We start from the raw sequence: 17,288 nt of genomic DNA on the forward strand, positions 1-17,288 counted from the left end.
CCAGTGGTTTCTCATCTGACTTAAGGTAAACATCAAGGCTCCATGTGATCTGGCCCCAGTTATCTCTGACCTCCTCTGCTTCTCTTCCTTTCCTGACTGGCTCCAGCTGCACCAGGATCCTCGCTGGTTGCTGAACTCCAAGGGGCACACTCGACACCTTTGCACTTGATGTTCCCTCTGCCCAGAATGCTTTTCCCCCAGGGATTTGCATGGGTGGGTCCCTCACTTCCTTCAGGTCTTCCCAGCAAAGCTACATGAGTTTCTCGGGGCTACTGTAACAAAATACCACAGGCTGGGTGGCTCAAACAACAGAAATGTATTGCTTCACAGTTTTGAAGGCTGAAAGTCTGAGATCAAGGTGCTCGCAGGGTCTGTTGCTTTTGAGGGCTGTGAAGGAAAGGTCTGCTCCAGGTACTCCCCTCCATCCCCCACCCCCAGCATGAGTGGCCACCTTCATGCTCACATGGGTGTTCTCCCTGCCTGTGTCTGTCTCCAAATTTCCCTGTTAGGAGAACACCAGTGACATTGGATTCAGGCTCACCCTAAAACCTCATTTTCAGTTGATTACCTCTGTGAAGACCCTATCTCAAAAAAGGTAATATTCTGAGGTATCAGAGATTAGGACTTTAAATATTAAATTCTAGGGAGACACATGTAAACTCATAACAAAGAACTTCCCTAGGTACCCTACTTAAGATCCCACCCAGTTAGGGAGCCTGGCACTCCCTAATGCCCTTCCCTGCCTTAGCTTTTTTGCTCTTGAGAACCTTATTACCATCTAATGTGTCTGCTACATGTTACTTACCTGTTCTGTTTATGGCCTTTTTCCTTGGATCAAAGGTCCATGAAGAAGAGGTCTTTGCCAGGCGCAGTGGCTCACGCTTGTAATCCCAGCACTTCGGGAGGCCGAGGTGGGCAGATCACGAGGTCAGGAGTTTGAGACCAGCCTGGCCAAGAGACCAGTCTGGCCAATATGGTGAAACTCCATCTCTACTCAAAATACAAAAATTAGCCAGGCATGGTGGCAGGTGCCTGTAGTTCCAGCTGCTCGGGGGGCTGAGGCAGAAGAATTGCTTGAACCCAGGAGGCGGAGGTTGCAGTGAGCCAAGATGGCGCCATTGCACTCCAGCCTGAGCCACAGAGTGAGACTCTGACTCAAAAAAAAAAAAAAAAAAAGTAGGGGGGGTCTTTGTTCATAGTTGTTTTTCCATCACCTAGAATAGTACCTGGCATACAGTAGATGATCAGTACATAGGATAGAAGATGGAGCTGATGAGGGCCACTGTAGACTAATGTGAATGAGCTAATATTACCAGGTAGAGAGAGGTGGGTGAGGGGGTCAGCTATTGGTTGATTTAAGGAAGAAAAACACCATGCAAGTATAACATGGGGCCCAGGGTGAACCATCCCTTTTTTGGCCTCTCCTGCTTTTACAATGGGGACTTCATCTCAACCCAGGCCTCAGAGTGCAGGCTCTGCCCTTTAGCTTGCAGACTGCGTTCTAAATGAAAGCAGAGATTTCCTCCAAGCACAGAGCACACCACAGAGCACAGTGAACAGCCTGCTGTTTTCAGGCCCTTGTCAGAAATGATGACGCTTGCATGTGGCAAACCAGCAGCTCAAGGTTTGGAAGGGGAGCTGCTGTTCAGGGATTCCTGGCCTGGAGTCCCTGCAGAGGGCCAGCAGGGAAAGGAATGGGGTGGCATCTAGCAAGAGCGCTTTGCCCAGTCCTCAGAGAAGTTGTGGCCCAAGGTCTAGTCAGCATTTTTGCCTCCAAACACAGGAATAATAATAGCATGAATACTAACAGGAGTATTATCCCAACTTGGCAAGCTATAGGAAGATACCTTCATTCAGATAAATCAGCCAATACTTAGGGAGCCATTGCTTTGTCCTGGCATTGTGCAAGGCATGAGGGGATTCCAAAAGGAAATCTCTCATATTCTTATTTCACTTTAGCATGAACAAAGAACTCGCACATGCATTGTCCATTTCATTCTCACAACTGCCCTGTGATAGAAATGTTCTATTATCTTGTTTGACAAGAAGGGGAATGAGGATAAGAGAAGTCAAATGACTTACCCACAGCCATGTATATTCAATGATTGAGGAAAAATGTGGGTACACATCTTCTGGCATGCATCCTGTATTAATAATAATAACAGGCCGGGCGTGGTGGCTTATGCCTGTAATCCCAGCACTTTAGGAGGCTGAGACTGGAGGATCGCTTGAGCACAGGAGTTTGAGACCATCCAGAGCAACATAGCGAGATCTCTTCTCTTAAAAAAAAATTATATACACACACACACACACACACACACACACACACACACATACATACATATAAGCCCAGTGTGGTGGTGCTCACCTGTAGTCCTAGCTACTCAGGAGGCTGAAGCTAGAAGATCCCTTGAGTCCATGAGTTCAAGGCTGCAGTGAGCTAAGATCATGCTGCTGAACTCCACTGTGGGTGACAGAGTGAGACCTTGCTTTTAAACACACACACACACACACATACACATACACACACATAAAGTATCACTAATTGGATGTGAACTATGTACCAGGCACTGTATTTCGCACTTTATATGCACTTTCTCATTTTACTTTTCACACAACCTTGTGAGGTAGGGAGCATTTTATGAGATGCAGAAACAGCAGTGAAGAGCAAGGTAGAAACTTTCGCCAGTTTTCCCAGCTCTTGATAATGGAAGGTGGTTCCTGAAAGAGTAGCAGGTGCAATCGGCTGCAGGAATTCAGATAAGAGATGGGGGCAGGGGCTCGATGTCAGATGGGACATCCAGGAGGGCTTCAGAGTGCACCAATCCTTATTTGGTAGGTAGAGAAGGAGTTCTGGGCACACTGTGTCGAGTGGGCAGAGAAGGGACAGGCCAGACCTGAGTGCTGGGGCCCGGCAGGGAGGCTGGGAGATGAGACAGGATGGGGCTGCACAGCTGGAGGCCAGGAGTACAGTGAGGAGCCAGGCGGACCAAGTCCCTACCCTTAAGGAGGCAGTAGCCAGCTTGGCACTTGGCAGCATGCCGTGATGCATTGATTCCAGGGGCTTTTCTGTTTGTTTATTGCAGGCATTCATCCCTGGTAGGACTGTGGAGTCAGCAGTGGGCACAGGACAGGGAAGGGGTGAGGTGTTCCTTTCCGGCATCCTCCCACGGCCTTTTCCCTTCCAGCTTCTGAGGCCTAGCCCAGGTCAACTGAATACAAAGAAGCATGAACAGTTCTTATTTCCTACATTAGTCAAGTCACTTAAAAAAAAACACCAAAAAACTAATTAGTTCTGGCAACTGCAGGTCTACACCAGCTTTCCTAACCACCGTGAGCTGAAAGGGTCTTAAAAGTCTCCTGAGACGGCTGTCATCTGATTTCTGGATTGCCCTTGCAACCATCTCTGCTGGTTGATTTCGGGTCTGTTTGCACATCTCTGATGGGGAAGAGCTCATTGTCCTGAAGGCAATTCTGGTGGCCTGGGCTGCTCTAGTTAGGGCCAAGACACACACACACACACACACACACACACACACACAGTTACACAGAGGTATATACGTATCCTTCTCAGTCTGGCCTCCAGATTTCCCACCTTGAAAGGGACTTGAGAGTTGAGACACCACAGCCCTGTTGTTGCTGTAGAACTTGGGAAGGGCAGGGCACGGTGGCTCATGCCTGTAATCCCAGCACTTTGGGAGGCTGAGGCGGGAGGATTGCTTGAGCCCAGGAGTTTGTGACCAGCCTGGGCAACATGGCAAGACCCCATCTCTACAAAAAATACAAAAATTAGCCACGCATGGTGGTACACACCTGTAGTCCCAGCTACTTAGGGGGGCTGAGGTGGGAAGATCACCTGAGCCCGGGGAGGTTGAGGCTGCAGTGAGGCATGAGCTGTGATCATGTCACTGCACTCCAGCCTAAGTGACAGAGTGAGACCCTATCTCAAAAAAAAAAAAAAAAAAAAAGAACTTGAAGAACTTGGGCAGCAGCTCTTGCCGCTGTCTCAAGGCTTCCAGGTGGGCTAATTGCTTTAATTGCTTTTGAGACTTCAATGTCTTTGCCCTCTGTTGATGTCGTGTTGTTTTTTGGTCGGGACCCCAAGAACAAGGTGACCAGTAGAGGGATTTTCTCAGGAAGTGATTTTCACTCAAGTTGGGAACTTTCACACAACTTGGGAACTTCCAGATGTCTGTGAGTAAGAGGGGCCTTCCAGAGACAAGGGTACACTATTACTTCCCATGGTGGCATTTCGGGCAAGCCAGCCTCTGAGGCTGGGACTGCTGTTCAGGGTCTTCCAGGGAGAGGAAAAGTCCAACCAGGAGAACTTGGCGTTTCTACCCACCCATTTCCAGGTTGGAAACCTGGGAATATAGGAACCACCCAGAGATAATGGCGTGAATCCCCAACAGGGGAGCTTGTTCTTTTAGAGGAAGATTTCCAGACCTGTTGAGATCTTCTTCACGGTGTGGCTGTAGCAGAAAATAATGGTGACATGATATGGCTAGACAGGGGGGGCTTGGTTTACCCTGGTTCACAAGTGTCACGTGAGGAGAATTTGGAAGTTCCTTAACTCCAGGCTGGAGGGAGAGCAGTGGACTCAGAAGGTGGCTACAGAGTTTACTATGGGACTGCCGTGGTGAGCAGTGACATGACCTTGTGGCAGAAATGCCCATAAAGCTAACCATAGGGTACTGTCTCAATTCCCAACACTTGGAAGACCCCCATCCCCAGGATAAGGATGGATGATTAGAAGCCACAGTGGGGCCAAACACAGGCCGAGTTTCTCCTGGGCAGGAGAAACAAAATAAAGAAATGCGACTGGACCCAGCTCTGAGTCTGGCTGGATCAGGGATCTGAGTGCATTCCCCAGGAGCCCTGCACTAGCTCAGTCCTCAGGATGCCACTTTCTGCCTAGAAAGTCAGCCCTGCTGCTTAGGTGCTGGGAAGGGGAACTGCTATGGCTCTGTTTAGGCAAGAGAAATTCCTGCTGCCTTCAGTAACAGGAGTACTTCAGTAAAGAACATCAGCAAGTCTAATGCTTTAGGAATCTCATTTGTTGAAAGTAGTGAATGAAGAGCAAAGGCTCATGGGGTATTCAGAAGACCTCAGACAAAAAACCTCAGACGCAACCTCATGCCTTGAGTAGGATTCTGTTGCTAGTGCACCAGGGCCAGGACCAGAAGTTTCATTTTGAGTTTTGAGTTTTGCTAACAGGAACAGGCTTCTGAGTTCACGGGAGCCCTGTGCATCTTCCCAGTACCGGCTATCCCACTCGAAATTGAAGAAAATCTCATCACGTCCTTAGCAATGGGTATTTCTCTTTCTTTCCTATTCCCTTCCCAAGCTGGAACCTAGGGCTTCTTCCCATTCTCCCTTCATCTCCTGCATTCTCCAGGTTCCAGGAGGACCCCATGGGGTCAGCCCCTACAGATGAAGTGATTTAGGGATCAGGACTTCTCTCTTCCAGTGGCTGCCTTAGAGACAATGCCCTTGTGTTTTCTCTTCCCATTTCCCCTTGTTTCACAGAAGTGCCACTTCCTGGTGATGAAAAACCCAAGAAAATTATCTTCAGGTCTTCTTTCCCATTTCTCATAAAAAGCCAAGCCCTTTGCATGGATGTGCGACAACAGGTGGCTTCATCCACGAGGTACTGTGCTGAGCCAATACTGCCGCCCACAAGTGGACGGAGGGAAAGGGCAATTTGTCAAGAAAAGACTGTCCTGAGAGACTGTATTAGTCAGCTGAGGCTACATTCTGCTGAGTAAGAAACCACTACCAGACCTCAGAGACTTCTAGTGATGATGTCTGATTTCTCACTCAAGTTAGACGTCGTTCACAAGCCAGGACTCTGCTCCATGTTTCCTGTGATCCAGGACCCAGGCTGACAGGGGTGCCTTCATCTGGAGCAGGGCAGGTCTCACAGCACAGCAGGCATGGCAGGTGCAGGCTACCTCATAAAGCTTCCACAGACATGTCTCCCCATTTTTCACTGGACAGAGCAAGACACTGGGCCACTCCTGGGTTCAAGAAGGTGAGGTTTATAATCCCCCTGCAAGGGGGAGATGGACACATGCCAAAGGCCAAACTTGACCTCGATGGGCAAGATGTACAAATTTCCTGTTTACACAGAGAGAAGATGCTGAACACTCAGTCTGCGCTAGTGTATATACCGCCTGGCATCCCACTGCCCCAGAGCATCCTTATTATCCCTGTGCTGCTCCATCCACTCATGGCTCTTCCGCTGTCAGGACCTCTATCCTGGGCCCCGGGCATCACCACTGGGCTGGTAGCTGCACTCAGTATCTGGGCTGGTGAGGGACAGTTCCTGGTCCTGCTCAAGTAGGGTGAGGCAATGACAATGGTTGCCAGATTCCCCAGATTTCAGACTCTGAGAACACTGATGCAATTTCCAAAATAGGGTGTTTAGGTTCTGCAATAACCCAATGGCAGGATAAGTGATTTAGGCTTCTATGGGCTGCCTGAGAACCTCTTCATCTACTTGTAGCTCTTTCAGTGAGCAAATGACTTCTGAGTTCCAACCCCCTGAGCATCATATGCTGCCAGAACAGAGCTATTTAATCCACACACATCACAGAGAAAGCAAGAAACTAAGAGGCATGAATAGTGTCTTTAACATAGTCTCATATTTGGAAAAGCAGTTTTAAAAAAAAATTGAAAATACAAGATAAGGTAAGGGTTACTTATATAAGTTTTAACCTTATATTGCTTGGCCATTTTTACATATAAATTATTGCTTACTAGCTTCGATAAATACACAGCACAGTCATATACATATATATTATATATATACACAGAGGCAGAAAGCATGGAATATGGGAAAGAAAACACTGTTAATGGCAATTCTGGTAACTCAACAAATGTTTCATATTTACCAGTTCTTTAAATGGTGGAAAACTACCAAGTGTAGTCCCTGAGAAGTTAGGTAGACACCCTGATGGCGGGTTCTCTATCTTCTAATTGTTAATGCAAGCTGACAATATCACAGCAGCCCTAATTAATGATACATTAAAAGGCAAGATTTCTTGCTTCAGGTCACTGATTTCATCCCAGTATTTAATAACAGTGTGATACGAATACAATAAATAGACTATGCAAATAAATATTACTCTGCTAAAAAATGTTTAGTATATACAGCTTTGCTTTATACAGTAATACATTTGCATCTAACTTTTTGGCAATTTTTAAAAACTTCCCCCCCGCCCCCCCACCAGTTTTAAGCAAAACTGGCCCACTCGCTAAGAAGCAGGCTGAAATTTTAAGGACATGTTTTTGAAACATTTAAAAGAAATCCTGTGTTGGACCACTGCGGAAGACCCGATCGTCCCCATTTTAATGTTTTTGCCCAGTTTCTGAAAAGCCTGGATTGGCTGCGCCATTTAGGAACATTCAGTTCCGGATCTGCGGTGTCTGTGCTGGCTAGAACAGACTCGCAGGGCTGGGATATGGGTAGCAGTGAAAGCCCAGCTCCAGGGATAAGAAGTCATCACTGGTACTCTCTCTTTCATGCCACGATTTCTCCTCCACTCAGAGGCAAGTATATATTCATGCAGCATCCTCTCCCTGTGGACTAGGCAGTGTGAGCACTGACCTTATCCACATGCTTCTAAATTCGGTGTATGCTCCACACTACCTGTTTGTGGTTCTCGGTCTAGGGAAATGAATTTATTCTAAACATAATTAAGGAAACTAGAAAAAAGTGAATGCAGGTCATGTGTATCACTATAATCATTTGGCAATTATACAGATGACAAAGAGCAAATTCAAAACACCACACTCTAGGGAACACCTGCAAATGTGTATGTAAAACAAAATTTTTTTTAATAGCAAGGTTGTGATTTTGCCTACGGGGTCCTGCATTCTGCTGTCTTGTGCTAACTTCTAAGCAGGGCTAGTTTGCTGGAATGCTGACGAATCCAAAGACCCACAGGACTGTCTGAGAGTTGTGCTGTAACAAAAAGAGCCCACTTAGAAGTGCCCCTGCACCACCTGGTGCCGAAGGTGCCAGATTACGTAAGATTTGCAGAGTGAGCGAAGATTTTATGCAATAATAAAACTCCAAATGAGAGCTGGCAAAGAGCTTAGCCATCTTCTAGACCACGCTTCTAGCCAGAACAAACCCTATTCTGAAGAGGCCTTGGTGAATATCCAGAGAGGGTGCATGGCCCATCCTATTAACAAGGAGCACTCAAGCCCCACCACTGTCCACCAGTGAACAGCTCAGATTCCTTAGAAAGAGCTTTCTGTTGAGTAATATCTGGTTCTCACAATTCGGGCTTGAATTCTTTAATTCCAGATCTAAGATTCTGCAAAGCTTTGGAAACTTCTGAGAGCTGCTGCCTGGCAAACCTCTGGAGACAGTTGTTAAACTTCAGAAAGATGCAGAGATTTTAGACATTCAGAAGACAAGGATGGAAAAGCAAATCTTGACTGCACAAAATCCTCCCTTCCCTCTGCTACCCCTAGGACCACCTAACCACGGCTGGAGGAAGAGGTGAACAAGCATCATTTTCTCCCCAGCCAGTTTACACCCATGTCATGTGAGATACTCTGAAGTCACTGTACAAAATGCATTTAAATACCACATTTGTGTAGCTTCATCTGGCTTGGTGGGCATATCTGACTTGGGGTCTGAGCAGCATGCAATATGCTGAAATAGTTCTCCATGGAAAATTAGTCCCCTAAAGGTAATGTTCTACTAGGAGCAATGTAGTTCTAATGTAAATAAAAATCCAAATTTTGAAACACAGAAACAATGTCAGGATGGCCTTATATGATTACACTGGCCAAACCTTAGTCCAGGGCATAGGAAAAAGGTGAGAACACGTGCTTGTGCTGTAAGCCCATGCTATTGTTAGTAACTGCGTGAGGAGGGCTTTGGAGGGTTTGCTCAGCCCAGCCGTGAGGGAAGTCTGCTCTCCGGTTCTCACGGCTCTGGTGTCCTGTGGGCCACATTCCATGACGGCAGCATGCAGCATTTCTCTGAATGGACCAGCCCTGGAGGATGCCCTTCTATAAAACCCTATAAATGTTCAGGACTGAAGTTTTACATGCTGGGCCAAACTAAGTCTCTCTCAAAGTTCTCCCAAACCTTCTCTCCACATGGTTCCTTCCAGCAGTATCTCAAGCTCAGTGTGGTTCCTGAGCCCAGGAAACAGCACTGCTATAAAGATGTCAAAAAGCATTGGACACGCCTCAGTAATGAGGATGAATGAGGCGTTGATGAGACAAAAAGGAAACAGGTCTGTGTGGGCATGAAAGAGATGAACAGGCAGGAAGAGTGAGAAGTGCACCAAGACTCCTGCATTTGGAAAATGAATGGACCAGGCCCTTGCATTTTAGCAAGGTGACAAGTATCTAGCAGGCAGGGGTGGATTTCATTATTTTGACCCATAGGCTGTTTTGTTCATGTGAAGGTTGAAAGAAATCCTCTAACCAGTCCTTGAAAATATCAAGAGGTCTTATTTGCTACAGGAGCCTCAATTGGTAAAAATGGGAATAATAAGATTTTAGAAGACTCAGATTTTGAAAAAAAAAAAAAAAAAGGCAAATTATAGAAAGGCTCCCTGCTTTGGCTGGTAGTTGGATTATAGGACTTCTAAGTTGCCAACATTAATCAGACATTTGGCTATTTCAGGGCATTTTTCATTTGCCAAAACACTAGTAATTACCACTATCTTATTACCTAGAGAGTGCTAAGTGCTTCACTCATTAAATGTCACTTAACCTCCCTGCACTGGCTGCTGTCATTCCATAGTGTGGGCAAGGAGCCTGTATGAGGTACGCAAAATGCATCATCAGGCACAAGAATGCAGACTTTTGTGACTCTGTCACCTCAGCAAGCAGTTGGTGAGTGTTTGCAATGTGTCAGGCACTGTGCTTTTTCAAAATCATATTATGTCCAATAAAAGATAAGAGCCTGCTTAGAAGTATAAAGAAAATCCCCAGAAATTAAACAATGAGTCAATTTCTTAAAGATTACTATTTTTCCTTACTGGCAAAGCAACTTCATCTACCTTGCCTATAGCTGCAAATCAGTTGTACAGAAACTAATTTCACCTGCAAGCATGTGTCAATAGTTGATTGTGGTGCAAAGTGATGCACACCTTGACATTGTTCATCTGCCCATCAGAGCATGGATGCTAGCTGCAGTCCTCACTAACTCCCTAGACACAAGTGGCTTTTGGTGATGTCACAGGTTGTATCAACAGAAACCTCTCCTCCCTGGAGATCTAGAGATGCTGTCTCTGTCATCAGGTGTTCAAAAGAATGACTTCTTTGACAGCTTATGGACAGTAATCTAAAACTAGGCAAAGTAAAAACTCCTTCCTGTTTCATGCACGCTCTTAATGAAATATTTGGTCATTGCATGTCAAGACGTTGTCTTGTCTTGATGCTGGCACATCTCATATTGAAAACTGGACTGGATCAACAATGTGATCATAAGAAACCAGCCTTCTCCATCTCAAGAATGCTTCTGACTCTCCTTCTGCCTTCTTGTCCCGAGAGTAGCATGGAGAAACCTCTCCCCCTCTCTGGTGGCTGACATCACTTCCTGAACACGCTTTGGCTGGCTTTCCTGTGAATGTCTTGGGTTATACTGATAAAACTCAGCAACTTCTTTTCTCACAGGAAAGCAACGTGCTTGGCATAGACATTCCCGTAGCTCAAAGTGCTGCAGATACAGGGGAGGTGAGGCAGTGGGGCTCACACCCGAGGCTCGATCCTGTGTGAGAGCTCAAACAGAGCCTGCTGGCTGTCAATGACATACAGGTGATTAACATAGGACTTTAACTCTTGATGCTCTTTTGGAGACAGGTCACCTGTTGTTTAGAGGGGGAAAAAAGACAATCTCAGGAGAGCAGTAATGCTGTATCTACATACCAACAAAACCCCACACTAAGGCTGAGTAAATGTACTAGGTGGGTTCTCATTAGTCAGAATCCCATAAGAGGTGTCCTTGTCCTACAGTAGAAATGCTTTTTCAGCTCAGAATGGATTCCTCAGGTCAGGCAATCAGACTGGCAGGATACTTATAGCATTTATTACCTAACATTGTATATTATTTAGAAATTACGTTATTATCTCATTCCACAGATGGGGAAACTGAGCACAGTCACGCAGCAAGTTAACTGTCACAGCCAGGATTCGGACCCAGGACAGATGGTTCCTGAGCCCTTTTAGGTAGCCTTTCACAGCAGTTACCTGTTTAAATGGCCAGCACTGGGTCCTATATCTCAGTCTAGAAGCGTTGAAAATCGCTGATAATGTATTTAGCATATGAATGCAATCACTCTTTTTCTGTTGTTTAGATTTTGTACAATTCTTTGGTATTCTCATTTTTTGGAAAAAAAAATTTAATGGAGCAACTGAATGAACAGATACAACAGAACAGACTCTAAGATGTGGTTAACAGACGAAATAGCTTCAGAAAGTATGTGTATGGACTAAAGTCTACCCAGAGAAGGACAAGACAAGGGGCTTTTCCACTCACATATCTAGGGCAGTCAAGGAATCGAGGGGCCAAAGGAGGCTTTAGTGCACTGTGAACACATCCACACCCTGCTAGCGTCCGTGCTGATAAGGAACCAGGATGAAGCAGCATGAACCACGAGGCAAGCCCGTGCACCACAGTCAAACACACACACACACAAGCAAACCATTTGAGGCTGGGGAACACTGGCCAAACTGCACTACAGTAAAACAATGGAAAGGTGAGTGGTGAAGACATCATATCCTGTTGCTTTGTAGATTATGCATGGGACAGGCAGGGTGAGCTGCTGGAGCTCAGTTTGAGCAGAGGGAAGGGAAATGCAGGAGGCTGAGCATTTTCTTATAGCATTTTTTTCTCTTGGTGAAACCCCCTTTTTTCTCCTCTATAACAAATGTATTTTATGAGGAAATAATTTAAGACCTGTATGACATGGGTGGCTTATAATTCTTAGGTTTAATAGAAACAAGGCTTCCTGGTTTTAGCAAGTAAACACACTAGGTGTTAAAGTTTATACCATCCCACCTGTTTGAAAGTAACAAAAAGCTGTTTTATTCCAGAATGCCTTCTCTGGAAGACGTCGAGAAAGTTAAACATTGGTTTGGATAACACGATGCTACAAAGGTAATTTTATGTTAATTTTCAAGCCTTAAAAAGATGGCACAATGAATGGTTCTAACCATGGCAACTGACATTTGCATGACACTTTATAATGCATAAGTGACTTGATTAACATTTTCATATTTTATCCCAAATGCTGACATTGGTTTACTATGCTCATATAAACCGTTAAAATGAATTCGGATAATTCAGTTCCCAAACCAATTTTTTAAAGATACTGTATATAAATATTAGAACATCAACTGGCTTGATAGTTACTTAAATTTCTCCTTTGCTCAGTGCCACACAGAGGGTTGCTCTCTGATGAGTGGGAGGTTCAAGGCAGGTTCAAGGCCACACAAGTTAGTATAACTATCACCTTCCTGTCTATACTTGGAGCATATATAAACTAGAGTTCCTTGGTTAAGTGAGACTGATATCTTAGAATTAGCTGAATCCCCAGTAAACACTTGGGAAGCAAAGGAGGATAAAAGCAATATGAAGCTGTACTCATCAGCATTATGCTTATACATTTCAGTGAATCTCTGTGATGATGTTATGATTACTATTTTTATTGTAACTGCATTGCGCTTGTATGCTTGATGAAGAATTATATAGGTATATTAAAGTGGTACTAATTGATGTGAATATTTAGAAAATTAGGTCCTGTATTTATAAGTCTCCTTTTCAAAGAGAAAACATAATCCACACAGAAGTCCAGTTCCTAACTTACTTTGTTGGGGGACAATATTGCCAGCCTAGACCAGCACTGAACAGAAAAAAATTCTTAAGCAGGTGTACTCAATTGTTAGCAGTACTTTTCTTGAGAAGTAGGACTCTGATTTTCTACTTTATATAGACTTCTATATTGTTGAAAAAATTGTTTTACAATGGGCATGTCTTACTTAAAAAATGAAGTTGAACTGAGTGGTTGCCTTTGATTAATTTATAATTATTGAACTCAATTTTCTATTTTTTATTACCCTTTGTATCCACAGGATCTGTAGAGGGCAAAAGAGAGGGCGAGGAGGTAAGGTAGACTCAGTCTGAATAATAGCTAAATAAGTGAATCTCTCTGAGTCTCTGCTTTTTGTTCTACACCTACAGGGTTAATAATCCCCATTTGCTAGGACTGATGTCAGGATTCCATTGCCCATGTGAAAGCTCCTTCAACTCAATGAAGTTGATTTCCTTCCTTCCTGCAATGTTCTAACACCATTTAAACATAGTATAAATTATGGCTGAGATTTAAAAAGGAACAAATATTCCTACATACATTAGTCTCAGTGGGGATTCTACAAAAGTGCTCAGAACCACACTTTTGCAGCTGAAAGGCAGCTCCAGACAGGAAGTTTTTGTTGGAGAGGAGAAAAGATTCTGGAAGGCTGCTTTAGGCACTTTTACAAGCTATAGTCCTATTCCAGGAAGGCTCCACGCAAAGAGGTTAGGGGCAAGGTCACCCCTGCTAAACTCACCAGTGATTTTGAGCCAATGGACAAGCAAAGCAAGACACTGTGGGGACAGGAGTCAGCGGGAGTTGCGGGGAGGAGGTTTCTGAGTGTGTAAAGTCACTCTTCACAGCATAAACTTGCTGCCATGAGGGGATAATAATCTGCCATATCTTGTCTTCCTCTGCATCCCCAACATGCAGTGAGGAAACAAAGAGACAATCTACTATATATATACAATATGCGTATGTATATACATATGATACTTTTCAATCTGTTTAAATTGATTACCACCCAATACTTGTGACCACAGTTGGTACCAACGTAGAGTCAATTTACATTCCGCACCTGACTTCAATTACTCACCAAACTGGTTAGTCCTGCAGTGTCTCAGGGTTCGGACAGTGTCTGCGATCATATGCTGTAAAGTAGAACAGGAAACACATCAATGGAAGGGTCGTTGAGGGTGTTACTGAAGAAGCAGTGCCTGCTAGGATGGAAGGATAATCTAGCACTCTTGGCTGTAATAAAGAGAAGAACTGTATTTGGAGCTGGATGTAGCTTTGATTCTATGGAGCTTGGATTATCAAAGAATATTTAGTCCTTATCTGCAAAAACAGTAGCACCAGAATGGGTGAGGTGGCTCTCACCTGTAATCCCAGCACTTTGGGAGGCTGAGGTGGGCGGATCACTTGAGGTCAGGAGTTTGAGACCAGCCTGGCCAATATGGCGAAACCCCATCTCTACTAAAAATACAAAAAAATTAGCTGGGGGTTGTAGCAGGTGCTTGTAATCCCAGCTACTCGGGAGGCTGAGACAGGAGAATCGCTTGAACCTGGGAGGCGGAGGTGCAGTGAGCCAAGATCCCATCACTACACTCCAGCCTGGGTGACAGAGTGAGACTCCGTCTCAAAAACAAACAAACAAAAAACAGTAGCACCCAATCCGGGTTGCACAGGTTCTTATGAGCCATGAGAAAATACATTGTAGAGAAGTGCAGCACCCCCAGCCCCAGTCATCCTGTTCACATTTGCACATGTGTTTCACTTCAGGGTATGTGTCACCTCCTCTCCATGAAGCCTTTCTGAGATGTCCCTCCTGGACTCAGAGGCTCCAATCTCAACATCCCCACTGCTCTTCGTACAGCACCTATTGGCTTTGTGTCACTGTCATTGCTGTTGAACTTTTCTCCTTCTTTAGACCAAGTACCACCAGAGGGCTTTGGATGTGCAGAGCCTACTATGTCAGACACATTGACTTACACATATGTGCTGAATGGAGGTAGGAATTCTTGTAGATTCAAAGGTTCAAGTATCTTAAATTGTAACTGGAAATGAGATACTGACAAAAGATGAACATTTTCTAAAACATTAACATCATTTTTTTTGTTTTTTGAGACGGAGTCTTGCTCTGTCACCCAGGCTGGAGTGCAGTGGTGTGATCTTGGCTCACTGCAACCTCTGCCTCACCAGTTCAAGCAATTCTCCTGCCTCAGCCTCCTGAGTAGCTGGGATTACTGGCATATGCATCATACCTGGCTAATTTTGGCTAATTTTTGTATTTTTAGTAGAGATGGGGTTTCACCATGTTGGCTAGGCTGGTCTCGAACTCCTGACCTCAGATAATCCAACCAAATTGGCCTCCCAGAATGCTGAGATTATAGGTGTGAGCCACTGTGGCCGGCCAACATCAACATCTTTAGAGACCATTTTCTGTTCATAGTTTATATTCACGTACAGTCTTCAATATTCTAATTTAATTTCTTTCCTTGAAGTCCTCACTGATTCCCAGGCAAAAGTCTTCTTTTTTTTTTTTTTTTGAGATGGAGTCTTACTCTGTCACCCAGGCTGAAGTGCAATGGCGTGATCTCGGCTCACTGCACCCTCTACTCCCCAGGTTCAAGTGATTCTCCTGCCTCAGCCTCCTGAGTAGCTGGGATTACAGAGGCATGCCACCACACCCAGCTAATTTTTATATTTTTAGTAAAGACAGGGTTTCACCATGTTCAAGTCAGGCTGGTCTTGAACTCCTGACCTCAGGATCCACCCACCTTGGCCTCCCAAAGGGCTGGGATTACAGGCATCAGCCACCCCACCTGGCCGGCAAAAGTCTTCTTAAATGTACAGCTGCTTTGGACAAGATCCCATCATCTTATACTTTTGTACTTGCAAGAGTGAGCTGTCTCTACCACTTTTAGTTTTTCATGTTGAAGGAAGTAGCATTTTGGAAGCATATACGTATATGCCATAAGAGGAACTAGAGTGCAGTATGTTCTCTTCCAAAATGCTATGCTAGCTGGCTTAATTGCCAGAATAATCTCTAAATACTATTGTCTTCATGTTCTAGTTCTCTTGAGAATCAACAGTAGCTCTCTACTTTGTTTCATATCACAATACAAACATCATCCTATTATTCAAGAATTAATATCATTCATATCTGGGCCTCCAATTTGGGTCAACATCTTTCATGTCCCAACTATACACACTGAGCATAGGATCACCATATACAGCAAACCCTCAATGAATTATTGCTGAAAGAATATTAAACACTAAAATATGTTCTTACTTAAAATTCAGAAGAAATACAGAAATATTATTGGAATATGACCTACTGATTGAATTGTTGTCATAACCGTATTTCTAATGCACTTCTATTCGATAGTGGAAAATTGAATAGGACAGTGATTATTGCAGTAGCTCAAGCTGCATTTGTAAAGGAAATGAGACCTGACTCATGTCTGTGCATGTATTGTTCAGTTTCCTTCCCCAGATTTTACCACTTTTCCCAGGTCAGTTTTCTCATTTTAAGCTCTGGCGTCACATTGATTTCTATCATATGCCATTTGCGTAGCTTGTGCAAGGCTCAAACTGATGTAAGGCTGGGTAGTGGGTGTGGCATTGAAACCTGAGTTCTGGTCTTCATCTTTAGGCTTTCTAAAGGGGGAGGGGGTAGACAGGGTAAAAGATGATGCTCTTAACATCGAGGGATAAAGAGAAGAAAAGAAACCATTTGTTTCTTTTTATGAAACAGTTTGAGATGAAAACATTTCCAGTAGCTGAGGCAGCAAGGAATGTAGCATAAAGAACAGAAATCTCATTAGACCTGATGAGGGCTTCTGGATTTTCATGGGGTCTGACTCAGTGTACTGGCCTGCATCAGTCAGATAAAGATAATACACTGAATTATCTGTTAGCTGGCTTAAGTTAATATCCATCATGAGGAATTGACTTTTCACAAGTTAATTCACTTAGGTTCTATTGGTTCATTATCGTGAAAGATGATCCTGTTTTACCTTTAGAGAAACCCAGTCCTTTACTAAGAAATATTCCTTGAAAATAGTGTTTCTCCTAGAAAGGTCAGTCTCATTCTCCAGCATCCAAGTGTAACACAATGCTATATATGACATAAAACTGCTTTTTGTCCTGGACACAGTTTTATCCTGTCTACTCTGTGTAAGGAGGGGTCAGCATGAGGCATGCTGTGGACCAGGAGCTCACTAGTCCCAGGTGTGGAGCCTGCCCTCTGAGGAAATGAAGAGCCCGTGCCTGCCTGACGGGCTTGCGTGTGCGCTATGTGAGTGCTGTGTGCATGCTGAACTGCACCCATTTCTTCATTCTTTTATAAAATATAATTTCTCTTTAGGAATTTAAAATATTATTTATGCCATGCTATTCCCTTAAACTTTCTCAAAGAATTAAGGGTATGATGATTGACCCTAATAGAAGTCA

The 17,288-nt window shown here is 44.3% G+C and overlaps 1 protein-coding gene across 7 annotated transcripts in view; it reads right to left on the reverse strand.

The window, feature by feature from the left end:
• Window positions 1-6,558: 6,558 nt before the first annotated feature.
• RAPGEF5 (Rap guanine nucleotide exchange factor 5) overlaps window positions 6,559-17,288 on the reverse strand; it is a 238,919-nt gene continuing 228,189 nt past the window's right edge. For all 7 annotated transcript variants that reach the window (NM_012294.5, XM_017012837.3, XM_047421084.1 and 4 more), the window contains 2 exons: window positions 13,927-13,981; window positions 6,559-10,844 (listed from right to left, as the gene is read on the reverse strand). In NM_012294.5, coding sequence (NP_036426.4) covers window positions 10,729-10,844; window positions 13,927-13,981 — 171 coding nt within the window. In that variant the 3' untranslated portion in view covers window positions 6,559-10,728. The remainder of the gene's footprint in view (window positions 10,845-13,926; window positions 13,982-17,288) is intronic.

Source organism: Homo sapiens, chromosome 7 (genome assembly GCF_000001405.40).
Source record: "Homo sapiens chromosome 7, GRCh38.p14 Primary Assembly".
Taxonomy (NCBI): domain Eukaryota; kingdom Metazoa; phylum Chordata; class Mammalia; order Primates; family Hominidae; genus Homo; species Homo sapiens.